The 12,978-nt window shown below is 37.2% G+C and overlaps 1 protein-coding gene across 4 annotated transcripts in view, besides 1 other annotated feature; it reads right to left on the bottom strand.

Moving 5' to 3' along the window:
- INVS (inversin) overlaps positions 1-12,978 on the bottom strand; it is a 202,933-nt gene that overhangs the window by 161,374 nt on the left and 28,581 nt on the right. The gene's annotated exons all lie outside the window — the stretch shown is intronic.
- Positions 23-596: an enhancer, noted in NCBI's record as "OCT4-NANOG hESC enhancer chr9:102902488-102903061 (GRCh37/hg19 assembly coordinates)". NCBI's record gives its function as "activates a minimal SCP1, AML or CMV promoter by ChIP-STARR-seq in naive H9 embryonic stem cells {active_cell/tissue: H9 hESC(naive)}" and the evidence as "EXISTENCE:reporter gene assay evidence [ECO:0000049][PMID:30033119]".

The raw sequence follows: 12,978 nt of genomic DNA, 5'->3' as shown, positions 1-12,978 counted from the left end.
TAACAGTCCCACAATATCACCCCTTACCACAAAATCTTCCTTCAGCTTAATCTCTCCCATTCTAGGTTCCCACACCGCCCCTAATTCCGCTCGAAGCAGCCCTAAGAAACATCGCCCATTATCTCTCCGTACCATCCCCCAAAATTTTCGCTGTCCCAACACTTCACCACTATTTTGTTTTATTTTTCTTATTAATATAAGAAGACAGGAATGTCAGGCCTCTGAGCCCAAGCTAAGCCATCATATCTCCTGTGACCTACACGTACACATCCAGATGGCCGGTTCCTGCCTTAACTGATGACATTCCACCACAAAAGAAATGAAAATGGCCTATTCTTGCCTTAACTGATGACATTATCTTGTGAAATTCCTTCTCCTGGCTCATCCTGGCTCAAAAGCTCCCCTACTGAGCACCTTGTGACCCCCACTCCTGCCCGCCAGAGAACAACCCCCCTTTGACTGTAATTTTCCTTTACCTACCCAAATCTTATAAAACAGCTCCACCCCATCTTCCTTCACTGACTCTTTTCAGACTCAGCCCGCCTGCACCCAGGTGAAATAAATAGCCTTGTTGCTCACACAAAGCCTGTTTGGTGGTCTCTTTACACAGACGTGCATGAAACAAAGGTCATATATGATTCCTTTTTACATGAAATATCTATAAATCCATAGAAACAGAATGCATACTGGTGGTTGCCAGGGGCTAGGGAGAGAGGGCAATGGAGACAAACTGTTTAATGGATAAGTGGTTTTACTTGAGAGTGATGGAAATGCTTTGGAACTAGATAGAGGTAGTGGTTGCACAACATAACGAATGTACAAAATTTCTCTGAATTGCTCACTTTAAAGTGGTTATTTTGTCTGGGTGCGGTGGCTCATGCCTGTAATCCTAACATTTTGGTGGGCCAAGGCGGGCTGATAGCTTGAGCTCAGGAGTTTGAGACCAGCCCAGGCAATAAGGCGAAACCCCTGTCTCTATAAAAAATACAAAAATTAGCTGGGCGTAGTGGTACGTGCCTATAGTCCCAGCTACTTGGGGGCTGAGGCAGGAGGATCACTTGAATCCAGGAGGTTGAAGCTGCAGTGAGCCCTGATCACACCACTGCACTCCAGCCTGGGTGACAAAGTGAGACTCTATCTCCCCCCACAAAAAAAGGGTTAATTTTATGCTATGTGTATTTCACCTCAATAAATTGTTTTTAAAAATCAGATGACGGGACTGATTACAGGTTAAAAGGTAAGGTCTTGTTTCAGATATGCTGAAATTGAGATTTTGGGAAGATATCCAGGTAGAGATTTCTAGAAGATAGCTGGAAATATAAGTCTGGAATAAGGGGAGAGGCTAGGGCTAGAGACAAATATTTGAGGGAAAATAGCCGAAACTTATAGAAGTAGATGAGACCTCTGAAAGGTAGAATATATAGAAAGACTTTTATCTTGGGGCAGAAATGGGAGTTAAAGGAAAGGAGTTAATAAAGAAAACAATGAACTATCAAAGGAGTAGCAGAAAAATAAGTTACTGCAGTATCAAAGTCCAGAGAAAATTCTGAAATGAACAAGTGGTCAATATATCAATGAATCAGAGAAACACAGAAGTACGAGAACTGAGAAAAGAGTAAGCCTAGGTAAATTAGGTCACATTGTGCATCATGAAAACAACAACAACAAATAAGTCATTTCTGTACCCTATAATATAAAACAAAGAAGCACAAAATATGTTTGTAAAAGAAATCTCTCCCTACATGCTTTCATCTGTTTTGATTAAATAATGTTTTGACAAGGAAAACCATCAATAAGGCCGGGCGCGGTGGCTCACGCCTGTAATCCCAGCACTTTGGGAGGCTGAGGCAGGTGGATTGCTTGAGGTCAGGAGTTCAAGACCAGCCTGACCAACATGGTGAAACCCATCTCTACTAAAAATACAAAAATTATCCAGGCGTGGTGGCAGGCCCCTGTAATCCCTGTTACTTCGGAGACTGAGGCAGGAGAATCGCTTGAACCCAGGAGGCAGACGTTGCAGTGAGCCGAGATCGTGCTGCTGCACTCCAGCCTGGGTGACAGAGCGAGACTCTCTCTTGAAAGGAAAAAAAAAAAAAAAAAAGGAAACCATCAATAAAAATAATTTAAAAACAAAAGTCGAAATCAATAAAATTTCAAGGTTAAAGACTCTTTATCAAAAGTGCCTATATGCAACTCTTTTGATTTAAATAAGACAGATTTGTTTGAGCAAATGACAGAGCCGGAAAGGGTAGAAGCTGGGTACAGAAACATTAATGGTTGAAGTATATGATAATGTTTCTTCAACTCAAATCTAATGTTTCCAATTAAAGAATAAAAAGATGTTGCTCTGAGGGTTAAATGTATAAGGATATATATATATATAAAATTTTTTTTTGAGACGGAATTTCGCTCTTGTCACCCTAGCTGGAGTGCAATGGCACGATCTCGGCTCACTGCAACTTCTACCCACTGGGTTCAAGCGATTCTCCTGCCTCAGCCTCCCGAGTAGCTGGGATTATAGGCACGTGCCACCACGCCCAGCTAATTTTTGTATTTTTAGTAGAGATGGGGTTTCACCACATTGGCCAGGCTGGTCTCGAACTCCTCACCTCAGGTGATCCACCTGCCTCAGCCTCCCAAAGTATTGGGATTACAGACATGAGCCACCATGCCTGGCTGAGGAGTTACATATATTTTAAAAAGAAAGTTAAAGTCACTAGATGGCTATACCTACTTGCTGTTATTCTCAATTAAAGTTACTTATAAATAAAGCACTTTATACACATATATTATTACGTTGACTCTCAGTCTTTTAAAGTTTAACTCTTTTTAAAGTTAAAAAACAGCAAAAAAATCCTACAAAAAATTCAGTAGAACCTTAATGTTTAAATTTAGTATTTGTTGGTTCATTGAAAAAATATGAGAATTGAATTCAGCTACAATTTTAAATGAAATGCCATTTTCTTAATCACATCAATTAATCACATCAACTTTTAAATACAATTGGAAAAAGTACCTATATTTGCAAAAGAGATTATTTATATGGTTTTCAGATGTTTCATACTCATATATATTTGTAAACACTATGTATAACTTTGCTGCCTTTCAGGGTCTTTGGCATACACATCAATCAGTATTTCAATGTATTTTCATACTTACAATCTTATGATGTAAGTATGTTAGAAATATTATCTCCATTTTACAGAGGCTTAGAGAGTTAAACTACCTGCTCAAGGTCACAGAGTACCAAATGTCTTTGAATTATGACTCGAATATAGATCTTATAAATTCTGATACCAGATACCATTTCTTTTTCATTATGCTATATTTACTCTGCAGAGCACCAGAAAATAACAAGGTCCTTGTTATGCAGTGAAAAAACAAGTTATCATTAAACACTAGCTTTCTCACTTCCTCTGTTCCTGAAGCCCAAGTTTAGGAGTTTAATGGAACCAAGGGTGTTAGGGTCTGGGGAGGTGTGAGAGGAGCAGCAGTGGTCCCCTATATTCCTAAGGTTTCCTTTCCTATCCAGTCTCCCCTGCTTTAGGGACAAAACATCTCCCTCTAATCAAAAGAAAACCTAGAACTCCTTGTTTTCCCATGTGTAAAATAAGAATAATTTCCAAGGCCCTTCCAGTTTTCATATTTTATAATTGATTGTCAAGAATATTCAGATACATTCTAAGTTCATAGCATACTCATTCATTGAACAAACTTTCCTACTGTGTATCTAAACTTTCCAACTGTCTGTCCTTTTTTTTTGAGAAGGAGTCTCCCTCTGCTGACCAGGCTGGAGTACAGTGGCGCGATCACGGCTCACTGCAACCACTGCTTCCTGAGTTCAAGTGATTCTCCTGCCTCAGCCTCCCGCACAGCTGGGATTACAGGCGTGTGTCACTACACCTGGCTAATTTTTGTATTTTTATTAGAGATGGGGTTTCACCATGTTGGCCAGGCTGGTCTTGAACTTCTGACTTCAGGTGATCTGCCCACCTCAGCCTCCCAAAGCACTGGGATTACACGCGTGAGCTACTGTGCCCAGACCCGACTGTCCTTTCTGTTCCCATCTCCCCAGCGACTTTGATCCATCAATAATCCATTCTTTCTCCTAAATTTTTGATGTCTCCTTTTCCTTAACATTTAAACGTGTTCAAATATCTCTCATCTATTAGATTACAAGAGACTTAAAAGACTTATCAACCAAATACAATGTATAGACCTTGTTTAGGTCCTGATTTGAATAAATCAACTGTAAAAAAATGTTTGAGATATAATCAGGAAAATTTGAACACTGATTAGGTATTTAATAATATTACAGAATTATCACTAATTTCTTTTTGGTACAATGATATCGTGGGGATATATGAATTATAAATATACTGAAATATTTATGGATGAAATAATAGAATATATAATAAAACAGTTTGAAGTCTACAGAAACAAGTTTATGAATTAATATTTATTGAAAGTGGGTGACGGTTATACTGGGAGAGATTATTATTTATTAAAAATTTTCCCACCACAATTTCTTCCGTCCATACTTTTCCTGATCAATAACCCCATTAATCAATCACTCGTACTGTCTCCATATCCTCATTTCCTGTTTACTCAACAGTGATATATATCTAGCTTGTGTGTCCACTAAATACCATTGCTCTTGCTAAGGTCACTTTCTAACTGAAAAATCCAGTGGAAGCCTTTTAATTCTTATCATATTTATATCCATCCATTTATTGAGTCATTTAGTGGAAAAGGAACTATTCAAATCTTAGCATCATAGTAAAAAAGATGAAACAAATGGATCCTCTTCTGCTTGAAACCTGTCCCTCTGGCTCCATAACACCACTCTGATCTAGTTCTTCTCCTATCTTGTACTGTCTCCTTTGTAAGTTTATTTTCTGTAAATAAACCTTAAATATTGGTGTTTTCTATTTCTAGTCCTCTTCCCATCTATAAACCATACCTGAGCCCTTCAACTACTTCTATGGTTTCTATATGTATACTAATAACTCCAGCCAAGACCTTACTTTGGAGATGCAAACTATCACAATTCATACTAGTCATTATCACCGAAGCCTAAAATTCCATTTTTCACAACTGAACTCGATAACTTCCTCTCAAAATTGTACCTGGACTAGTATATCCTACCTCTATGAGTCATGTCATCAAGAGCTAGGAATACCAGTCAAAAGAGTCCCCAGTAAAACAGGATAGGTATCTAGAGGTTATGGAGCCAATAGCATTGAAAATGCAGCAAAGACAAATGGTATAAGCAGAATAGAGTAGTGATTCTCAAAGTGTGTTGCCTACATCATCACCATCACCTGGGAGCTTGTTAGATAAGCACATTCTCTGGCCCCACACCAGCCCTGCTGAATTAAAAACACTGGTGGTGGGGCCCAGACGTCTATGTTTTAACAAGTTCTCCAAGTGATTCTGCTGCATGTTCATCTAAGAACCCCTGGATAAGAGCATAGACACAGGGCTTTCATATAGCTCCTGAGGCTAAGGATGGGGGAAATTTGACCTGAGTGCTTAACAGTCTAGGTCAGGAACCATTCTTGGTTCCGTCCTCCCTTACCTTCCCTACAAATAATGTCTACCAAGTTCTGAACATTTTATCATTTTTTAAATAATACTTTAAAAATTGAGAATATAACATATACAGTAAAGTGCATAAATCTTAAGCATACAGACTGGTACCTTTTAATGTAACCAACACACACACCGATCCAGAACATTTTCAGCACCCCTGAAAGCTTATTCATATTCTTCTCAGTATATTACCCATCTTTTAGGTAACCACAAATCTGATTTGACTCACCATAGATTAGTTTTTCTTGTTCCTGAGGTTGATATGAACAGCAAATAAATTTTTTATAAGTGTCTGACTTGTTCCACTCAACATAATGTCTATGAAATTAACTTATGTGGTTGAACGTGTCAGCAGTTCATTCATGCAGTGTTCCATTGTAGGAATACATCACAATTTAGCTACTCATTCACCTGTTGGTACGTATTTGGGTTGTCTGCACTATTAAGAATATTTGCTTTTATAAAGAAGTTACACAAATGACCAAAAAACATGAAAAAATGCTCAACATCACTAATGATCAGGGAAATGCAAATCAAAACCACAACACAATACCACCTTACTCCTGTAAGAATGGCCATAATCAAAGAATAAAAAAACAGTAGATGTTGGCATGGATGGGGCGTTCAGGGAACACTTCTACACTGCTGGTGGGAATGTAAACTAGTACAGCCGCTATGGAAAACAGTGTGGAGATTCCTTAAGGAACTAAAAGTAGAACTACAATTTGATCCAGCAATCCCATTACTCGGTATCTACCCAGAGGAAAAGAAGTCATCATACGAAAAAGATACTTGCTCACACATGTTTATAGCAGCACAATTCACAATAGCAAAATTGTGGAACCAACCCAAATGCCCATCAATCAACGAGTGGATAAAGAAACTCTGGTGTATAGATATACACAATGGAATACTACTCAGCCTTAAAAAGGAATGAATTAACAGCATTTGCAATGACCTGGATGAGATTAGAGACTATTATTCTAAGTAAAGTAACTCAGGAATGGAAAACCAAACATCATATGTTCTCACTGATATGTGGGAGCTAAGCTATGAGGATGCAAAGGCCTAAGAATGATACAGTGGACTTTGGGGACTTGGGGGGAAGAGTGGAATGGGGGCAAGGGATAAAAGACAACAAATATGGTGCGGCATATACTGCTCGGGCGATGGGTGTACCAGGTTCTCACAAATCTCCACTAGAGAACTTACTCATGTAACCAAATACCACTTTTACCCCCAATAACTTATGGAAAAATAGAAGTTAAAAAAAGGAATGTTTGCTTTTCTAAATAAAACTATCATGTAATTCTCATACATGTCTTCTAGTAGAAAGAGGCACTTATTTTTCTTAGGTATTACCGGGGCTGGGAGCATGAATTGAGATGAGGGATGTGTGTATGTGTGTGTGTGTGTGTGTGTGTGTGTGTGTGTGTGTGTGTAGCTTTGGCAGATATAGTCAGATAGTTTGCGAGAGTGAATGTACCAATATACATTCTCAACAAAAATGTTGGGGAGCTCCAGTTGCTCCATATCTTCACCATCAATCAATATTGATTGCCAGACTTTTTTACTTTATACATTCCACTGGTCATGTAGTAGTATCTCATTGGAGTTTTAATTTGCTTCTAATTAGTAATGATGTTGTGTACCATCTCATGTGTCTTTTAGGCATCTGGATATAATCTTTTATGAAATAGGGCTACATGTTTCAACATGAAGAAGTTTCAAATACATAATATTAAGTTGAAAAAGCAAGTTGGTAAATGTCACACAGTATAATACCATTAATTTAAAGATGCAAAATAATATGGTTTACCCATAATAGTGTATGTGCACATGTACACACACACACACACACACACACATAAAGTAAAGGTAGAAACATATGCATGGGAATTGAAACCAACAAAATCAAGACAGACTGAGGAGACAGGGAAAGAAGGGTTTTGGAAGATAAATGGAAGACTTCAAGTGAATCTATAGTTTTGTTTAAAAATTCTGAAGCAAAAATAAGAAATACTGAGTTTGATCTCTTCGAGGTATTAGGTACCTAATGTTTTCTCAGTTCTCCATTGTTTTTTGTTTGTTTTTGTTTTTTTGAGATGGAGTCTCACTCTGTTGCCCAGGCTGGAGTGCAGTGGTGCAATATCCGCTCACTGCAACTTCCGCCTCCCAGGTTCAAGCGATTCTCCTGCCTCAGCCTCCTGAGTAGCTGGGATTATAGGCACGCACCATCACGCCCAGCTAAGTTTTGTATTTTTAGTAGAGATGGGGTTTCACCATGTTGGCCAGGCTGGTCTCAAATTCCTGACCTCAGGTGATCCTCCTGCCTCATCCTCCCAAATTGCTGAGATTACAGGCGTGAGCCATGGCACCAGGCCCTGTTCTTTCTTATCTCTATGCTTAAGATAATTAAAAAAAAAAAATTCCAGGCATATGCAAAGGCAAAGAGAATGTGAGTACAGTAATTTTTAAAGAGAAGAGATGTAAAAGGAGTAGAGTTCAGTTTCCTCATCCAAGGACAAATTGGACAAGAAGATCCCAAAGAGCCTTTCTATCTCTGACATCTGCTGATCTCTAAACAGTAATTTGATGTTTGCACCTACATTGTAGTGTGACTAATAGCAATAATATTGATAATGTAGTCCTTGAGAATAAATTTCTCCAACAAACAGAATGCTTTATATCTAAGGACTCATCATCCCTACATAGAAGATAGGATGTATTATTCCATTTTATAGATGAAGAAATTGAGGCATACAAGAGCATTGTTTATTAAGAAATTAAGCTCACAGAAAATCTTAAAAAATCCTGATTGCAAAATTGTAAGGGCAGGGAGTGGATAGTGAAAAGGAATAAATATAATTATTCATTTAAATTTCAACAGTCTTGAAGGCCATGCCCTTCATATTAAATCTATTTGATATTCACATTTACTGATTCATTCATTCATTCATTCATTCATTCATTCATTCATGTATTCCTTAAATAAATTACTGTCTTTATTAAGTGGCAGAAGCTATGCTAGGACTGTAACTATGAAATCAAATAAGACATGGTCACTGCCTTCAAATAGCTTTACTGGGCGTGAGACCTAGATAAACAAAATCTCCAATAAACTGTGGTGATGAGTTATGGTAGAGCTATATATGTACTGAGGGGGAATACAGAGCTGAAGGGGACTGGGGCGTGGATTGTTTGTTGTGTTTGTGTGTGCATCTGCAAAATAAGAAAACCTAATAGTGTTACCTGGTATAAGTGTTCCTGAAAAGTTTCAGAGGTATTCTTTCTCCTTTTTGTAAATCAGTAACATGGAAACAGCGTACCTTGAAAACTGAAAATAAACATTCAATTTTCATAGATGAACTGAGAATTATTTATGAATTTAAAAAAAGGACAATGCAGCCACAACCAGAAGGTTCTTTAATTTTTGTGTTTACTGTGATATAATTTGTCAAAGTGGGTAGTCTTAAGCTTCTTGAAGCCAAATAAATAACCTCCTGGAAGATTAAACATGCATAACTATTAACATATACTAATATTTCTAAAGCTTTTTTATCCTTATTAACAAATGTATCAGTAGAAGTCAGAGAAATAGTAGCCTCCCTGGAGCAAAACATTTCTAACAATTAGATATCTTTTGTGAGAAGCCCAGAAAAGGTATGACCAATTGCTTTCTTGGATTAAACTGATGGTTCTAAATGAAAAACAAATTAGGTGCAGATGTTCAGTATATTGAGATTAATTTTATTCTCATGGGTACCATTTCTTCAGTTTCTTGGACTAACAGTAATTTGTTTCCAGAGAAGTGAACATGTGCCAAAATAACTAAGCCAAGCAGCACAGTTCAATAAGTTTTTCCACAAACATATATATTTTTAAAGTAGATAAATGTTTCCAATAAACAAAAGGTCTCGTATTTGTATTAGTAATGACTTTCTATAAAAGTAAAATAAAATTCATTCAACCAAGACATGTCAGAACTTACTAGATTCAGAGAGATTCAAAAACAAACAAAAAGAGCTACTTGCCTGGAGCTCCAGCCTAGTAGAAAAGAGACAAGTAAGCAATAATTACAATATAAGGTAATGGGGCTCTAATAGAGATGTGAGCAAAATGCTTTGGGAATATGAGCTTTTCCCACTAATGAACCCAAGAAAAGATAACATAATACAGTTCACTATCACACACACACAAAAACTAGAAACATAATAAATAATGTATGAGAATGTTTGGTCTTCTCATGTCAATAATAACAATGACTATTATGGCTATAGATATTTTATAAAACACTTATGTATTACAAGGTAGATCAATCAGCTTTAATTATCATTTAATATCTTCATCCATGATCTTTGTAAGCAACTTAAGAGCAGGAATCATGTTGTTCACCTTTGTGTTCCAAGGCCTAACATGATGCCTGTTACATAATAGTTTTAACACATGTTGAATGAATGAAGGTATACACATATACATGAGTGTTCATGATTACATAAATAGCACACTTCTGCATTCATGGATACCAGAATTAAGTGGGACAGACAATACTTGGAAAGGATATTTGATATCCAATATATCAGAAGGTTCACTAAACAAAGGGAAATGACGATTAATAGGGATGGGTACTGAGAGCATCCATCTATAAGCTAACATACGTAATTCATTTTTTTCATATTCTCTCTAGTTGTATAATCATGATTACATAGTAGATATTTAACAAACGCTTGTTGAATGAACACTTCTGCCTCCATAATGTATCTCTTAAACCCAATTCCTCTCTATTGGCCTGAACTATAATAGCAATCTATGTATCTCCACTCTTTCTCTTCCAAAGTAGCTTTAGTTGCCATATTAGTCCCCCTAAAATACACTGATCATGTAACTTTTATTTTCAAATTTCCCAAAGGCTCCCTAGTATTCAGGATCCCTCATTTAAAAAAACAGAAATGCATAGGGAGTTCGTAGTACAAAAGCCTGGAACTGACAGAGAGCAGATACTAAATGGCCAAAAATTAATGAACTAGGTTGTGTTGGGAAAATTAGTTATCCATATGCTTTAAAATGAGAATGGATCCCCATACAAAAATCAATGTGTTATATATTAAGAGATTTAAACATAAAAGAAAATATAGGATAATTTAAAATAATCTCTACTCAGCTGTCTAGTCTCCCAGCTGTTGTTTAATACTAGGTTTCTTAGAGCACCACCCTATACAAGCACAGTTTAGGAATCTGTTAAAAACTTGTGAGGAATTTGTATCCAGATTCTTGCATTCTTTCTCTGCAATTCCCTCCTCTCCAGGATTTTGACTTTCAAGTTCCAGCCACTATTATCTCCAAACTCTGCCTCAGTTTCTTCAGCCTGGTAAGGCTGCTGCTTCCTGTTAGGGTTGTATTCTTTTGCATTCCAGTTTGGAAAATGTCATAAAGGAAAAGGCCAGGATGAATGTGGTACTCACTTTACGTGTTTCTCTTCTTTGAATGATTGTAGTCTCTTAGATCCTGCCTGTGCTGATTGTTCTCAATGCCTTCAAACAATGTATATAGTATTTTATTCAGTTTTTACAGATTTTTTTGACAGGCAAATTAGTTTAAAATAAGCCATTATGGCCAGAATTGATGCCTAGTTATGAAAGTGTCTTGTTGGTTTCTTATTTTTCTGATTCCTTGTTTTTTTAAAAAATTTTTTTATGTATTTACATTTTTTTTTGAGGCAGGGTCTCACTCCAGTCCCCCAGGCTGAAATACAGTGGTATGATCTCTCCTCACTGCAGACTTCCCAGGCTCAAGCGACCCTTCCACCTCAGCCTCCCAAGTAGCTGGGAGTACACGTGCTCACGACCATGCCCAACTAATTTGTGTGTGTGTATGTGTGTGTGTTTTTAGTAGAGACAGGGTTTCGTCATGTTGCCCAGGCTGGTCTCAAACTCCTGGCCTCAAGTGATCCACCCACCTTGGCCTCCCAAAGTCCTAAGATTACAGGTGTGAGCCACTGCACCCTGCCAGATTCCTTCTTTTAATTATAATATTAAATAAAATATATATTTTTTGAGACAGGGTCTCACTTTGTTGTTCAGGCTGGTCTGAAACTCCAGGGCTCAAGCAATCCTTCCGCCTCAGCCTCCCAAGGAGCTAGGACTACAGGTGTGGGCCACTACACCCAGCTAATTTTTTTTTGTTTTAAATAAATAGAGTCTCTCTATGTTGCCCTGGCTGGTCTCAAACTCCTGGCCTCAAGAGAGCCTCTTGCCTGGCCTTTCTAAAGTGCTAAAATTACAGGTGTGAGCCACTGTGCTTGGCTGATTTCTTCTTTCATATCTTTAAGCATTCCATCAGTGGTTATTTTATATTGTTTCTCTAATGATGCCAATCCCTGATGTTTTTCATAGACTAAATCTGTTTGTTGTTTCTGCTGACTCTCATTCATAGTAGATTGTTCCCTTATGAGTTTGGTGATCTTTCATTGTCAGTTCACGTTTGGTTTATTTAATATGGGAAAATCTTGGAAGTTTAAGGTGAAGATGTTTTCTCTAAAGAGAATTTGTGCTTGTGTCTCTTTGGGGGCAAGGAGTATTACAGGCCTGGGACATATTATCTCCAACTATTATTTGAAAATTATTTGTAGATCATTTACTATCTTATTCCTGACTGGTGCATACTATATTTCATCTCTGAATGCTGGTGCTTTGTATAAAGCACAAATGAACTAACACAGTACCCAGATTTAATTGGACACAGGAGAATACTAAAGAATTATTACTATCCTTTTCTGGGAATTCGGATCCATTACTGCTTTTGGCAAGCATGTAAAAACAAACAGCAACACAGAGTAAGGAAGGAAATGCATAATTATCAGATACTTGAAAGAACATGAAATCTGTTATAAAACCAACTATGTAAATACCACCACATAAATCATAGTTCTATTTATTCTTCGATACTATGAAAAACTTATAATTAAAAAATCAAAGTAGAAACAAAAAAACTAAAGAAAACAATGCATGGTATCTGATGAAAAGATTACAGCTAACATGTCTGGTTGTACATTCCCCTTCTTTCAACCATCTTTGTCATATAATACTTCTACAGGATGTTATACTGTTGGATCATCAACTGAAATCCTCACTTGCTCCACATAATCTACTTGATGTTAAGCTAGGTTCCTTCACTCTACATTTTTGAAGCTGAGTTTTACACCTAAATCAATCATAATGAAAAATCTAAAGGGTATCAAAGTCTTAATTTTGCGGCTTTTCCCAATCTGAACTATTTGCTTTTTTATGATAACAAGTTAAATGGAGTTACCTTTCTCGAGTGAATAATTTCATTAGCTGACAAGCCTAAGTGAAAGGTTATAAATACCCGAGAAGTAGTTAAAAC

The sequence above is a fragment of the Homo sapiens genome, chromosome 9 (assembly GCF_000001405.40).
Source record: "Homo sapiens chromosome 9, GRCh38.p14 Primary Assembly".
Lineage (NCBI taxonomy): Eukaryota > Metazoa > Chordata > Mammalia > Primates > Hominidae > Homo > Homo sapiens.
This window is presented reverse-complemented; position numbering and strand designations above follow the sequence as displayed.